The sequence below is a fragment of the Homo sapiens genome, chromosome 7 (genome assembly GCF_000001405.40).
Source record: "Homo sapiens chromosome 7, GRCh38.p14 Primary Assembly".
NCBI classification, from domain to species: domain Eukaryota; kingdom Metazoa; phylum Chordata; class Mammalia; order Primates; family Hominidae; genus Homo; species Homo sapiens.
In genome coordinates, this window is record NC_000007.14 from 52,760,889 (window position 1) to 52,777,731 (window position 16,843).

Here is a 16,843-nt window from a genome sequence, read left to right on the forward strand (position 1 = left end):
AACACAGTTATAAATGAAAAAAAAAAACTTGCATAGCAAAATGCCTAAAATGTTTTAGTAATACATTTGACTTTAAAAAACACTATCCATATTTTTTAGAGAAGCAGAATTTGAAAGGTTTGTTTTTCAGTCATAGAGAAAATATTATTTTTAAAATGTTAGTGACATATAGAGAAATTTTGGTAATCCCCTATTTATTCATATGAGATGATGCCAAATTTTACATTATAGGAGTTCATATAATCATATTGACCCTTGCAATAGTTAATAGAGTCAAAATGTATTGTTTCTGATGTCCCAAGCTCTGTACATTCACGCACATCTTATGGATTTTCTAAGCTATACATGAGATAAGCTCTTTTTTCTTTCTTTATAAAAATGAGACAGCTGAGACTCATCCTAGAGCACCAGTGGGAAGGAAAACCAGGCTTTGAACTCAGGCAGTCTGGTTCCAGAGCCTCTGAACCACTGTGTCTGGGGGACTCCCATTGCTACAAAATGAAACTACACCCATATAGTAGGACGGTGTGTTTGTAAAGAAATCAAAATATTAAATTCTTCAGCATTTTGACTAGAATTTAGAACAATAGTTGAACATTTCATATGGCGAGTATCATTCGCGTGTGCACCAGTTATTTTGTGAAGTTGTTTTCCTCCTGTTCAACACTATAGAAAATAATTATAAATCTTAGCTTTCTCATGGGATTTATAATCCCCATCATGCAGCCTGAGTAATTTTGCTATCCCATGCCAGTTTTATTGTCAATAACAGCCTGGAGAAAAAATTTGCTTTGGCTTAGTTTTAATTTGTAAGTGTCCTAATCTCAACTGCACATACCAATTATATATCAAGCATTCTTTGCTCACCAGGGAGATATTGTTTAGATGCTTTTAAACTCATATGAAACAGAAATAAGGAGGACTGAAATTGTTCCATTTGGGCTTGAGGGTGATTGGCTGTCTTGCTAAAAGATATAGATAGGCCATTAAATGTATGTGACGGTTGGGGGATGCGTATGTGCTTATGTGTGCTAAATGCCTATGCTACAGCCTGGGAAGGAAATTATAATTTATATATTTGAGTTCTCAGAAATAAAGGTTTCTGAGACTTAGCATCAATAAAATATTTGTTCTGTATTTTGGGGTCCTAATTCCTGGATGTTGAACTTGTTGAGCAATCTTGAGAGTTACATGGGTGGTAATAGTAGTTTTAGCCTTTCTACATTTTGAGCAGTTTTAATTTAGTATCATGCTCAATTGCCATACCATAAGCTAAAATTTAATGTTCATGGATTGCATTCCCAGCCCTATCATGAGATTATTTCTTACATGTGTACTAGATATCATATAGGTCTCTAGAATGTGTGAGACTTCCTTTCTTCCTTCTTTCCTTTTTTATTCTTTCCTTTCCTTTTCCTTCCTTCTTTCCTTCCTTCCTTCCTGCCTGCCTGCCTTCCGGCCTTCCTGCCTTCCTGCCTGCCTTCCTGCCTTTTCCCTTTATTCTATTGTATTTCTTTTCTTTTTTCTTCAAGGGATAAATTTTTAGGGTACAATGTAATGTGTGCTAATTGTGTTGGTTTGAATGCTGGCTCCACATGCATTAGTTGCATGAATGTTGTCATACCATTTACTCTCTGCATGCCCATGATTATCCATGATGATCATAAAGGATGTCACCAAGATGAGCTGTTGTGAGAATTAATGGGAAAAATACATAGTAAGCAACTAGAAAAGTGCCCAGCTCTGTTGTTATTATAAATTTGTTAGTAATTTATTGTTACTCTATTATCAATTTAACATGTATGCACTGAGTGGCGAATATATTCTAGCCACTCTATTCTAATGGTGAAAATTGCCAAGGTGGGTACGTGTAAGTCACAATCAGTACATAGTTTGGTGGACTTTTATATTATTTTTTTTGAGACTGAGTCTCACTCTGTCACCCAGAATGCAGTGGTGTGATCTCAGCTCACTGTAACCTCTACCTCCTGGGTTCAAGCGATTCTCCTGCCTCAGCCTCCTGAGTAGCTGGGATTACAGGCATGTGCCACCACTCCCGGCTAATTTTTCTATTTTTAGTAGAGATGGGATTTTGCCATGTTGGCCAGGCTGATCTTGAACCCCTGACCTCAGTTCATCCACCCACCTCAGCCTGCCAAAGTGCTAAGATTACAGGCATGAGCCACCGTGCTCGGCCAGTTTGGTGGACTTTTTTATAGAAATGGTCACAATCGCCACACACTTTCGTGTCCCCCTCAGAATCCCAGTCCTTGGATACTTGAACAGTCTCCTCCCACATTGACTCTGGGCTTCACATATGACCAGTTTTGGCCAACAGAACAAAAGCCAAGGTGATTCAAGTAGGGACTATGAAAGTCCTTGCACATAGGAGTTTGGATTTTCTCTTGCTGCAGTCAATAACTCTGCCACCACCATGCTGGTAACAAGTTAGATTAACCTGCTAAGCACTTGGCCTCACCTAGCCCAATTTCTTCCGTTTCCCCTGCCAACCATGCATCAGCCACCCAACATGTGAGACCATGGACACCAGCTGACTGCAGACCTATGAATGTGCCCAGTGTGCACCATGGGGAGCATCGATGAGCCTTATCAGCTAAACAGAGCCCACATTACTACCCACAAGGACTGTGAGCACCAGGCTTCTATGTGGCTTGTTATACAGCAGACAATAACTGATATATGTAAGTTATTTATCTAGATTTATGTTTTTGTGAATTCATACTGGAATGAGAGAGGCCTATCCAGGCCAAGAACTCCTTAGCATACTGCTCATAGCATCATGATGCTTTCTCAGTAGGTGAAATTCTCATCTAACTCAGAATGTCTTACCATCTTTAATCTCTCCAGGAAACATTCCTTAAAATGATGGCAGGATGATTTCATTCACCCTACTCTAGGTTCCACAATTTCCTTTATCTCATCAAGGATACTAGGATGTTCTTTGATGGTAACTATAGCATAAAAGCATCTTAATTGCTTTTTTTTAACATGTAAATGAGAGTCCATGGGGTAGGAGATTGCAGCATATATGGTAACATTACTGCTGAACTTGGAATTTTTTCCATCTTATTACAAAAATATAATATTGATTTGAATATACAATTCAAATTTATTTTAAATGATACTTTTTATAACTTATTATGTTTAAGTTTCAAAAGTAGTATTAAAAATCATTAGATACATTCCTTACCTTCTCTGTATTCTTCTCTTAATTTGTGTCTTATTTTAGAAAGAAGTATGATTTTAAAAAAGACAGAGAACAAATCCTAAACATCTCTCTGGATATGTATTATTTAATTTAGTATATCTCTCATATACTATAAGGCAGATCTTGTAAAGAAAGAAGACACAAAAGGAGGAGATATGGAATGATAGGCAGTATTTTTAAAAAGATATTAAGTAATGTATTTAAATGTTCTTATATATATTTCATTTGTTTCTCACAATATCCCTATGATGTAGCCATTTTAATATGACTTTTGAGAAATGCAATAATTAGGTTGTATAGAGATTATGTGATTGCTCATGATTCTATTGACAGAAAGTAATGGGAACAAGGTTTCAATGTCCTTGACTTCTGCCTTCTGTCATAGAGGACCCATTAAGAAGATTGCAGAGGACCACAATTTAAAGAAAAGATAAACATCATATGCTATGGATTGTATTGTGCCAGCTCCACCCAAAATTTATGTGTTAATGCCCTAACCCTCAATATGACTGTATGTAGATAGGGAGATTTCAAAGTAAATAAGGTTAAATGAAATCATCACTGTGACTCATAAGCTTAATCAGACATGTCACCAGAAGCCTAGAATAAAGATGGGATTACACCAGCAGAAAACACAGGCAGTTTGATCTGAAAAGTGTGGAGAAAGCAGGATGGACTGAAGGAAGGCTGTTGGACTTAGATACAAAAGGACCAGGCCATAGAATATTTATTTGGCTGTGAACATGTTATTTTTTAAGAAAAGTTAAGAATGATCACAACTGTGATTCAGTGATTGTCAGGACTGCCTCCTTCATTTCAAAAAGTGAGGTCATTGTCTCAATTGCTCAAGCCAGACAGCCTCTGACCAAAGCTTCAGGGCCAGGACCATTGCCCAAGAGGATCTGAAAATGGGATTGCTACCCTAGTGGATTTGGAAGGTAAAACATGGAACCAAAGAGGATTATTCTTGAGCATTAAGATCTAATGGAATTTATCTTGCTGGCTTCTGGATTAGCTTGACATCTGTCACTCTTTTCTTTCTTCTGACTTTTTTGTTTTGGAATGAGATTGTCTTAAGCATGTGCCACTGTTGTATTTTGGAAGGATGTAACTTGTCTGATTGCATAGGCTCACAGATGGAGAGACATTTTTCCTCAGAATTAACCATACCTTGAGTCCCATTCATATCTGATTTAGACAATATTTAGGTGAGATTTCGACTTAGATTTCCGAATTGAGCTGGAATCAATGTAGTTTGCATGTGATAACAGCACAAATTTTGGTTGGCCAGGGTTAGAATGTTGTGGACTGAATTGCGACCCCCTCAAAATTCTTATGTTGTAGCCCTAACTCCCAGTGTGATTGTATCTAGAGATGGGGTCTTTAAGAGATAATTAAAGTTAAATGAGGTAATATGAATGAAACCTTAATCCTTTAGAACTTTGACCTTATAAAAAAGAGAAAGAGGCAGCTTTCCCTCATTCTTTCTACCATGTGAGGGCACAGGAGAAAGGAGACTGTCTGCAAGCCAGAAAGGCAGCCCTGATCAGAAACTGAACCTTTCTGGACCTTGATCTTGGACTTTCCACCCGCCAGAACTGGGAGAAAATGAATTTCTCATGTTTAAGCACACGGTATATGGTATTTTGTTATGATTGCCCATGTTTACCAATAAACATCATGTTACACATAGAGATCTGCTTCCACTTCAGACAAATCTAATAAGCAATGGGCAAGCAGTACTTTTCCATTAATCCTTCTGCCTTCTGTGTTTCAGAAAACAGAGTGTGCCAATATAAGGCTTTCTCAGGGCACATATTGGAGATATTGTGGTGCTATTTTAATTGCTAAGAAAAACACTACTACAACAAAGTTTAGCCATTTTACACAACCATTTACCCTAAGGAATTAATCAAGGATATATGCAAATATCCATAGGTATTAATTTAGATATTAATTTTCACTGAATCACAATTTATACTACCTCAAATTTGTGTAATTTAATAATGTCATATATAAATAGCTAACAAACGAAGACACTACATAAAATGAAATACCATACATCTATGAAAATAGTGTTCAGTAAGAGTATCTATTGACAAGACTCCATAACTATAACATGTTGTCACATTATAAATAGTACATACGATATCATGCATTAACAAACATGTGTTGGCTGGGCATGTTCGCTCATGCCTGTAATCCCAGCACTTGGGGAGGCCGAGGTGGGTGGATCATGAGGTCAGGAGATCGAGACAATCCTGGTTAACACAGTGAAACCCCATTTCTACTAAAAATACAAACAATGAGCCGGGCGTGGTGGCACATGCCTGTAGTCCCAGCTGCTGGGGCGGCTGAGGCAGCAGAATCACTTGTACCCAGGAGGCGGAGGTTGCAGTGAGCCGAGATCGTGCCACTGCACTCCATCCTGGGCAACAGAGTAAGACAACATCTCAAAAAAAAAAAAAAAAAAGCTCAAATTCCTCCACATTGGAGCAAGATAAAAATAAAAAAAATACTGTACATAAAAATTCCATGTAGGTAGACAGTGTTAACCTTAAGTGTGCTAAGTAAAGCACTAAATATTAGTGCTGCTTTAAATGTTTATGTGTATACAAAAGAACCTAAAAAAGGGTGGAAAATATAAATAATTGGAGCTTTGGGTTCAATTTTAATTAATTTAATAATTAATTTTAAATAATTTAATTTTTTATACGTTTGTTAAATGTACAAAATGTACATACAATAACTATAAGAATACTAGTAGGAGTATAATATATGATGAAATGATAAATAACTTTAAAAATTTAGCATTAAAGAATAAGAACATTATGATCAGCAGTATACATTGATAAAATGAATTTTCTTCTAATTTATCATCTTGAAATAAAAATATTAATCAATCTTCCCACAGCTTCTCTTTGTTTCTTTGCTTGTATTTATAAAATAAGAGGCAGTAAACTAGAAGATGAAGCAAACAATAATGAAAACAGGAGTTGAGGGTGGCTGTACACTTCTGAATTGTGGCAACAAGTACACACAAATAACAGCCTGAAATGCTCACAACCTTGGATGTTTGCTTTTGTTTATGAACTATATAGGGTGCTTATTTTCTGCTTTTCATGATGGCAATAACCAATCTTTTCCCACCATATTTATGGTGCTTTTCCTTCCTTTTTTTTTAAAGAATATTTTATGCTTGGCAGTATCTAAATGTTGTGTCTGGAATTTAAATAGGAGAAACTGTAATTTAGCCTTAGCTAACTGAAGGAGGCCAAGCCCACTGCTGAATTGATGGTGATTATCTTTAGCAGAGTGAAATGGAAGGGTTCATTGATTGAATACTATTATGACTTAGGTTCTTTTCATATATCATCTTGTGACATTCTCCAAACAACCCTGTGGGGTAGGAGATATATTTCTCAGTTTCCAGGAAAAGAAAAATAGCATGGAGCAGTTTTCAGCTTTGGCTTTTCTGAGCTCATATCCCATGGTAAGTGGACTGGCCACACTAAATAACACGTATGTAAGATGATATTATGGACACATTAATTGTTGAAGTAGACCTAGTCAGTGTTGCACAAAGATCTCAAGTCAAGAGCGCTAAACACATTGGCTAACAATGTAGTATATATGTCAATACTCTTGTCTAGGTGTTGCCTAAGGGGCTTATATCATACCTGCATTAGTTAAACACAATTTTAGGTAATGAACAGATACTTTAACTATAATCTAAAATAGTGGTAGATCTGAAATTGTGCATCATATGATAATAAAAACAGTAGCTAATAAACCAGCATTTATCTGGGTTTAATAAAAACATTGGCAATGAAACGCAGTATATTCATATTTCTCTTTGTTTCCTTGTAACATTGTTGCAAAAAGAAAGGCTGACTTTATTCAGAGAAACATTCCTCTCAGTGCAGGGAAACATATGTAATCCACAAAAAGATGTATAAATGATAAAAAATTTAGCAAGTTTATATCATTAAAGATAAGTATATTAAAGCCAATAGTATTTCTATATGTTAACACCAAAATAATTGGCTACTAAATATTTTAGGCCATTTACAATACTATCAAAATATAAAACTCTTAGGGATATTAGTTTTATTTGGCAAAAAGATGTACAAGAAGTCTGAGATAATTTAAAGAAGGCTTAAATAAATGGAGGAGCACATTGGCACATGAGTCGTAGAATCAAAGCAGTTAAGATACCATTTCTCACCAAATTGATCTATAGCTTCAACAAAATAGCAATTAAATTATCAGCAGAATTTATCTCATAGAAATTGGTAAACTGATTATAAATATCACATGGAAATGCAAAATACTTTAAATAACCAAAACAAATTTTAGAAAGAAACAAAATTGGAAGAATAACATTACAGTACTTCACAATTTAATATAATCTTACAGTTATCAATAACGTGATATTAACATAAAATTACTGAAATGAATCAATGGAAAAAAATTAAGTCCAAATGTAGACGCACACATGTATGTAAAACTGATTTTTAATAAAGGTACAAAAATAATTGGGTGGAGAAAGAATATGCTTTTCAACAAATGTTACTGGAAAATTTTCACACACATTTGCAAAAAAAAAAAAAAATCATGACCACATACTTAGTGCAATACGAAAACAAACAAACAAACAAACAAAAAAATATGCACCATAGACCTAAATATAGAGCCTGAAACTATGAAATGTTTAGAATAAAATCTTTGTGATCTAGGATTAGACATAGAACACATAGAATATGATGTGTTTTAAAACATGATTCAAGATATAACAAATTTATAGTTTGGACTACATCAAAATTAAAACCTTTGGTTCTTTGGAAGCACCGTTAAGAAAACAAAAACACAAACCTCAGCATAGGAGAAAATATTTGCGAATCATACATGTGATTAAATATCTGTATCTAAAATATATAAAACCTCTAAAAATCAATAAGAAATAAACCCAATAAAAGTCATCAAAAGGTTTGAACAGACTTCACCAAAGAAACATACAGATGGCATACGAGCATGTGAAAAAATCATTAGTTATTGGGGAAATGCAAATTAAAACTGCAATTAGATGACACTACGCAGATACTATAATGGCTAAAATTAAAAACACATGGATTTAAAAGTGTGGAGATAAATTTTAGCACCCATGCACAGGAGATAGCAATATCAAATGTTAAAATCACTTTGGAAAATAGTTTGTCAGTTTCTTTTTTCATTTCTTTTGTTTGTTTGTTTGTTTTTTAAGATGGAGTCTCACTCTGTCTCTCAGGTTGGAGTGCAGTGGCACAATCTTGACCCACTGCAACCTCTGCCTCCTGGGTTCAAGCAATTCTGCCTCTGCCTCCTGAGTAGCTGGGATGACAGGCGCCTGCCACCATGCCCAGCTAATTTTTGTATTTTTAGTAGAGACGGGGTTTTACTATGATGGCCAGGCTGGTCTCAAACTCCTGACCTTGTGATGCACCTGCCTTGGCCTCCTAAGTGCTGGGATTACAGGTGTGAGCCACTGCACCCGGTCCTCAGTTTCTTAAAAAGTTAAACATTCACCTACAAAATGACACAGACATTCCATTCCTAGATGTTTAACGAAGACAAATGAAAAAGTTGTACAAAGTGTTCTTAGCAGTACTAGCCATTATGGCACAAAACTGTAAACAATTTAAATGTCCATTAACACATAAATGATAAACATATTGTATTATGTCCACATTTTCCAAAACTGCTTAGCAGTGAAAAGGAATCAGCTATTGATCCTTGAAACAACATGGATGAGTCTCACAATAATTGTGCTGAGTGAAAGAAGTGAAACAAAAAAGATTCCATAGTGTATGTTTTTATTTGTATAAACTTCTAGAAAAGGCCAGCTAATCTATAGTAACAGAAAGCAGACTGGTAATTGCCTGGGGATGGTGGTGACCCGACGTGGAGGAGTGAGGATTAGTAAGGGGCACAAGGAAATGTTCTGCCTGATGAAAATGTTCATTAGTTTGATTGTGGTGATGGATTTATAGATGTATATGTATGTCAAAATTTATGAACTTAGATACTTTGAATATGTCCACTTTATTATATGTCATTATACTTCAATGAAGCTGTTAATGAAGTTCTAAAGTCTCCTGACTTTCACAGTAACTCAGGTGAAACACTTGCATTCAGATCAGCATTTATTAATTTCAGTTCTATCTAAGGGCATGTGATATAAATTAGACTCTATGTACTCCGGACAAAATGCTAAAATTTGTCAATAAATCTACCAAAACAGGTTCTATATTCTCAGGTGCCAATAGAAGAAGATGATATTCAAATCATGCAACATGCACTGTGGTAAACAAGACACATCTGACTACCAAAACACAGGAAAAGCATTTGTCTACCATGTCTAGCTTGTCATGAATTACTAGAATACTAATTAAGGGAAATCATAGAAATTAAATGTCTTGCAAATTGAAAGTTCCTTCATATTTGGTTGTGAGGAAAAAAGAAAGCAAAAATTTTTAAAGCTATTCTTATTGTAATGATTTTCACTTCTATTTTAAATTACATTTAGCATTCATTCCCTTTTGTCTTTCATTCACAACAGATACACAAGTGGATGCACACACTCTAATTTGTTTCAGAAACTTTGCCATTCCAATGAACGATCCTTTTTACTTAAATCAAGTTTATTTAGGTTTTTGATCAAAAAGTTTTCCGGGAAATGTATGCTTTGTTTTCAATGCCTACAAAATATTGTGCATGTAATACGAGTTTAAAATTCTAGGCATTGTTTTTAACTGTCATAATTAATAATTGAATTTAAATTATGTACAAATGCTGTAATGACTACTCAAAACAGAGCAAAATATTCCCACCCAAAATTTGGTTCAGATGTTGAGATTAATGAAGCCACACACCCACCTAGAGGGCATGAAAATTTTTATATCTTACATAATGAGGTTTTCTGAAGAAAAGAGGGCATTATCTTCCAAGCTTGTCTGAAAATGGCTTGAAAGGGCAGAGAAAGGAGGGTGGTTTGGGGTGTTTATGTTGGTTTAGGGGCTAGGGCTGGGGTGAGCGTTTTCATGTAAGTGGTGGCAGGAGGTTGTGTGATTTGAACTTTTCACTGGTGTCAAAGGAGAGAGCACTGGGACATTCTTATCAACTGCTCAGATGGTGAAGCACAATAAGAAGATGAGAAGGGCATGGGGAGTCACATCAAAAATGGCATCAGGCTCTGCATGCGTTCACGTCCCTGTGTGATGACGTCAACAACAGGCCATGCCTACTCCGTGCCAGATGACAGGTAGCTTGGGAGATGTCCAGTTTATCTAAATGAAGACTTTTTAGCCTTCACAGAATGACTGATTATTCATTCAGTGTCAATCAGATAGGTTAAAAAATGTAGAGCTAATAGTTTCCATTTGTAATTCTTGCATAGAAATGAATGTTGTGTAGAAACTGTTACACAACAAACATTAAGGGCCTTAGGTTACTAGATATGATCTTCTACTTAAACTACTTTTCATTGATGTGACCTTGTTTCCAGTGCAAGGTAGTCTGGTAGCAAAAGGGAAGGAAATGGAAATCTTCTTTTATGAAAATAGATGGACTATTCCAGACTGTATCTGCAGAAAAATAAACGAATGTCTGCAGCAGTTGAAATTACGGCAAAGCCATCGCATTACAGACAGCAGAGCAGGGAAGGTGGGAACCAGGCTTGCGGTCGCCTGCCTGTCAGGTGGCAGATTTAGGGATAATAAGTCAGGGGACAGGTGAGATGAGGGACAAATCAAATAAGCGGGCCAAATCCTGAAATGTGAAAGGCTGTGGCCAGAGAGAGGAGTTTTGGATTATGAAATAATGAGAGTAGAGAAATTCCTGCTACTGACAACATTGAGGATGCAGACAGGAGACAGGAACCTATTGAACATTTTAAGATTAAAATCCTCTGATTATTCACCCAATAACCATTACGTGGCAGGCAGTGTTTTGGTGATAGAATATTAGATAAGAAAAAAATCCTGACGTTTAGGGTCATCCAACTAAATGGGGTATTAGCCGCTAGGGAAGCATTTTACATCAATGTTCCCTCATCCTTCATCCACCTGCAGAAGTGTTGTTATTATCTGCACTTTAGAGATGAGGAAACTAAGACTTAGGGGAGTTAAATTAAATGCCTAGAGTCAAGCAACTGGTTAAATGTCAAACCGTGTAGGAGTCAAACCCAATTCTGCTTTTCAGCAAATTATTCTTTCTGTTATTGCTTTCCCAGCAAGAAGACCTCTTGAAATGAAAAGCAAAAGCAGCATTAGATGCTGATATCAGGCCTAATAGTTGTACATTTAGAAGAGATAAGATTAGAATCAAAAATAAGTGGGCAGAAAAATTTCAAGTACTAATAATGGAGCAAGAGACAAAAGATACCATATTCTCTGAATTTTTAATAACTTTAAGTAATTGAAAAACATTAAGATGATCAAAGAAGATATGAATAAAATTGTCACTTAGATAAAATAAATGTTCTAAGAAATTAAGAAAAAGAAAACATTGTGGATGGAATTTCCTGATAGTTGACATTCAAGAAGCAGATGCAAATTTGCTAAATGTTTCCTTTATCACTTACGATCCAGCACATACACTGTGACTTCTATTATAATCAGAGGACCTGCTGGGCCCTGGAGATGAAAAGGTGACTTTTTGGGGTGTAGAGTGTGAATGTTAAATTTCCCCCTGAGAAAACCCCACTGGTTATCTAATTAAGCCTGTGAACATCCTCTCCCCAAAATGCACACATATAATTTATAACTCCTGGAGTTTACAAGATATTCTTTCTATCTTACTGAAAATGTGGTGTGTTAGAACAAGTCACTTTGTTGATGTCCTAAAAGTCAAAAGTCTGTGACCAATATGCATGCTAGAATTTTTTAGTATATAGTATTTTCAAAAGACAAAATGTGGATTCAAGAATATTTTTCACTCCTTAGGCTATGTTTTCTGGCAATGAACATAGAAAGAAGTTTTGCTTGACAGAGAAGGTTTGGGTAAGAGAAACACCTTGTACTAATGATTATGAATTCATCTCTACTGCTGCATGTAGTATTTTATTTAACCTGCAGAAAATTATGTTTTATGTAATATGAATTCTGAAGAAATTAATTCCTGTAAGGGTGCCTAAAATTTGAAACAAATGAGCAAATGACTTATATGTTTCTTTGTTTATGTGTAGATTTCTTTTGCTGGATAACTGATTACCACAAACTTAGAGGCTTAAATAGCCTATTTTATATTCTCATATTTTCTACGTACCAGGCATCTGACTATGGCTTAACTGGGTCCTCTAACGGGGTCTCACAGATGCAATTAAGGTGTTAGGTGGGGCTGCAATCTCATCTAAGGCTCGGGATTCTAGGCTCACATAAATATTGTCAGAATTCATTTCCTGGAAGCTGTAGAGTTCATTTTGGCTTCTTCTAAGCTGCAGTGGAAAGCCTCTACTGCTTTGAGTTTCTGACATCAGGAAAGGAAGCCCTCTTTTAAAAGACTCACTTGCATCGATCAGGTCCACCCAAGATTATCTTTCTTAGATTGATTCAAAACCAAATGATTAGGTATCCTGCACCTTGTAGTGCCTCCACTTTTGCCGTATCCTGTGCATAATTACAAGAGTGACATTGCATGTTGTTCTCAGGACCCCAGACCAACCCAGTCAGGTACACCTTCCTGGGCAGGGGAGTCCACAAGGGTGTGAGTCACAGGGGAGCATTCCAGAATTATGCCCACAACAATGTTTATCCACAGAGAGATCTGACAAATGTAGTAGCACAGCTTTTTAAAGAAAACCTTGCCAAGCACTTTGGGAGACGGAGGAGGGTGGATCAGCTGAGGTCAGGAGTTAGAGACCAGCCTGGCAAACATGGTGAAAACCTGTCTTTACTAAAAATAGAAAAAATAGCCAAGTGTGGTGGTGCATGCCTATAATCCAAGCTACTTGGGAGGCTGGCGCATGCCTGTAATCCCAGCTACATGGGAAGCTGAGACAGGAGAATCACTTGAACCCGGGAGGCAGAATTTGCAGTGATCTGAGAACATGCCTTTGCACTCCATCCTGCCTGAGAGACAACAGCGAAAATCTATCTCAAAAAAAAAAAAAAAGAAAAGAAAAAGAAAACCTTAAAAAACAGAGGGAAAAAGGGGCATTTTGGACTTGTAATTGCTGTTCTTTGCAAAATTTCCTGTGACAACTTCTTCTTTTTATTTATTTTATTTTTTTAATAATGGGAAAAGTATGTACATTAAACTCCTGTTTGTTAGAATTTCTTTATTACACTTTCTCTTTTGTCAACTTTCCAATCTCTTTTGTCTCAAGAGTGTTCCAGTTAGATGCTAAAATGTCTGCAATTTGGGAAAAATTAAGAGATTTATTTAAAAATATTTTGTGATTGAACTTTCAAAAATAAAAATAACAGAAAAAGAATGTGTACACATAACTGTACTTCTTTTCTGGTATATGATATAATTGAATTTTTTTCAATTTTGCTTTCATTCTAGGAGCTGGTTTCTTCTTTATCTACCTGGTACTTATCATGAAAGTAAATAATGGTTATAGAAGGCACTCATTCATCACTCAGTCATCTCTGTCATAACTCAATTGCTGCAACAGTGGTACCACTTCTACACATGCTATGAAAGAACCAGCATAATCACTCTTTAAAGTCATTACAGATTAAACAAATAACAGTGAAGCACATTTTGGTAAACGTTTATTTTTCTTGCTCTAAACATAGTATGTCCTCACATTTACTTTAAGTTCTGTCCTTGAATTAATTTCATTTATAATATATTTTAAAAATAAGAAAAAACTTGATGTCCCTCATTAAGAAAACTTTTGATTTGTATGCATCTCATGTTGTGTTTTTGTAAACTACCACTGAAAAATCTTAAGATAATTGCTGTATAATGGGGTAATTAATTAAAATAACAATAATAAAAATTAAAATTCTAAATTAGTCTCAAACCATGTTAACTTTACTTTAATTATCAAGCTGTAATTTCAAACCAGAGAAGGAACTTAGAGGCATTCCATGTAAACTTCAATTTTGTCTGTGTGGTGTGTGTGTTTTGTTTTGTTTTGTTTTTTAGGAAGAAGAGTGGCCCAAAAGATGATGAGTCTTTATTGTAATCCTATAACAGTGATTTTGTAATCACATAACTGATTTTTTAAATAAGGTTATCTCCTTTTGAACATTTTCTGAGATGCTAGAGATAGTGGGTAAATGAAAATAGAAAAGATAAATAAAATGGAAATATTTAGGATACTTTTAAAGACACGTAATTATTAAGTATTGTTTTAAAGGAAGAGAAGACTGTTTATTCAGTGACAAAGAAATAGGACGGGAAGTCATGGGGGAAATCAGACCTGGGAATCCCTAAGAGAATCCTATATCTTTGTTCCATTTTGCAGCATGTAGGTAACATGGTGTGGTGGCAAGACAGTTTTTGTTTGTTCCTTTGTGTTTCAAGCGAGACAAATTTGGGGGAAGAGATATTACATCCATTGATCTATTCATTCACTAAACATTTACTAAGCTACTGTTGTGTGATCAACACTGCATTTTGTATCAGTCTAAAGAATGTACATAATATTTTGGGGGGACCATTTGTTTTACAATTTTCATATACTTTACAAGCCAAAATATCACCTCATCTTAATAGTCGTAAACTGAGCACAGCTGTATGCATTATGTAAAACTTAAACATTTTCAAATATATTAACCAAATTCAGTAGCATAGTTTCATTTACTACACCCAGAAGGCATACTCTCTAACTGGTCTGGGAATAGTCTCACTTTTTATTTGAAATTCAACAGTTATTAAAACTGTTTTGGCTGGAGTACCAGCCAGTTGACCCAGGCTCAAAATCAGATCTCAGTAGGGAGACTATTTTCTTTAATCCAAGCCAGAATGGAAAGAATCTCGGCCAAGTGTCCAAGCTAAAGGCAAGCTCAAACAAACAAAACCAATCACACTAAAAGATGGTCCTGTATGATAGATGAACCTAAGTAGAACAAGCCTGAAAAGAAAGATAAGCTGGTTCAAAATAAATAAGGACAGAACATGATTTTCTATAAACAACATCTAGATTTCTGAAGATCTCCCTTTGCGTCTAGATTTCTATGTCACATGTTGGCCTGAAAAGGCTAGAAAGAATAATTTTATTTCATTTTTAGCTGAAATATACTTCATAAGTGTGTATACACTGAAACACTTTAAATTACTGACCATTCTTGGCATTTCACACTTACTTTTATCTTCCCTGTACCTCAAAGAAATACAAGGAAGCCACTTTTTAAATGATAAGACAAGTCACCATTGTTTTCAAGGCCATGGATCAAAACTTGGAAGAAAAACTTAGCCACTGACAACTTTTTATTGGAAATTATTTTATTAATTTAGATCTGCTTGAAAATAATCCTTACTGAATGCATAGTATAAACTTTTATGTGGATGTCAATGAATAGAACAAAAATGATATAAAAGTCATAGTTTCAAAAAAAAAAAAGGAGAGAGACTTGGCTTTTTTTTCCATTCCTAATTCTCCCATTCTTTCAAGTTCCCTTATTTACTTTGAGATTATTACATTTTTCTTCCATTCCCACTTCTCCTCGTCTATCATGCTCCTTTCTCATTTTATTTGAGACTACTACAATGTGTCTCTAATGGTTCTATTGCACTCAATCTGTGCACTCAGAAACTGGCAGAGAAGCACCCAAAAACAGCCTGTTGAGCTCCCTAGAAGAAAACCCCCAATCGTGTCACTTCACTTCACATGAAAAAACTTCTTCATTTTCTGCCAAATGAAACCTGACTTCTCCGCCTGTCTTTCAGGCTTTCTACTGAAAACCCACCCCACATTTTCAATATCATGTCTCGCCATTCCTTACCTAGAATGAGCTCTTCTCTGCCCTGTGCCTTCCAGCACCTGTGGCTTTATTCTGATAGTCCTTTCTGCTTTTTATCTAGTTCTATGAGTCCAACTCAAATTCTGAATCCTCCTGGAATTTACTCTAATTTATTTTCCTTTCAGTACTTCCCTGTTCTCAGAATGAGCTGTTCTACCTTGGCGCACTCACATACTTGCTTCTGATGCTATGTCTCATGTGCAGAATTGTGTCCCAGGTATTTTTCTAAGTCTCTCTAGTTTCCTTAAACAATGACGAGCTCTGTGAGGTGCAGGCTGCACTGGATCCAGGGCTCTCCATGAGCAGCTCCCCAGCAGCCTGCAACTGGCATGGATTGCCCTGCACCCTCCTCTCCAGGCACAGTGTGGGAAAGCTTTTCATTTTCATAAAGCTTATTTTTTATATAAAATAAAATAAAAACCTGCATGATAACTCATGATACGTTGGAGAGAAATAAAGAGGCAGATGTGGCAGGATATCACAAGGAAATGTCAGCATCTTATGCAGCAGGGTTTGATTTGGGGGACAGTGGAGAATAGATAAGATCGAGAGGAATGATAAAATAATAGGGAAGACTGTACCCACAGACAATAAACAGACAGGCAAGGAGACTGCACCATGCAGAAAAGAGGGGAGATTAGGAGTGGCGGATGAATGA

General features: G+C 35.9%; 1 long non-coding RNA gene across 2 annotated transcripts; it reads left to right on the forward strand.

Annotated features, from left to right (window-relative positions):
- Positions 1–10,501: 10,501 nt before the first annotated feature.
- LOC101928257 (uncharacterized) lies at positions 10,502–13,968 on the forward strand. 2 transcript variants are annotated; one of them, XR_246513.4, is made up of 3 exons: positions 10,502–10,529; positions 12,211–12,267; positions 13,775–13,968. It is a non-coding gene; the product is annotated as an uncharacterized LOC101928257 (long non-coding RNA). The 2 variants fall into 2 exon arrangements; XR_927264.2 differs by lacking the exon at positions 10,502–10,529 and adding an exon at positions 11,846–11,915.
- Positions 13,969–16,843: the final 2,875 nt, after the last annotated feature.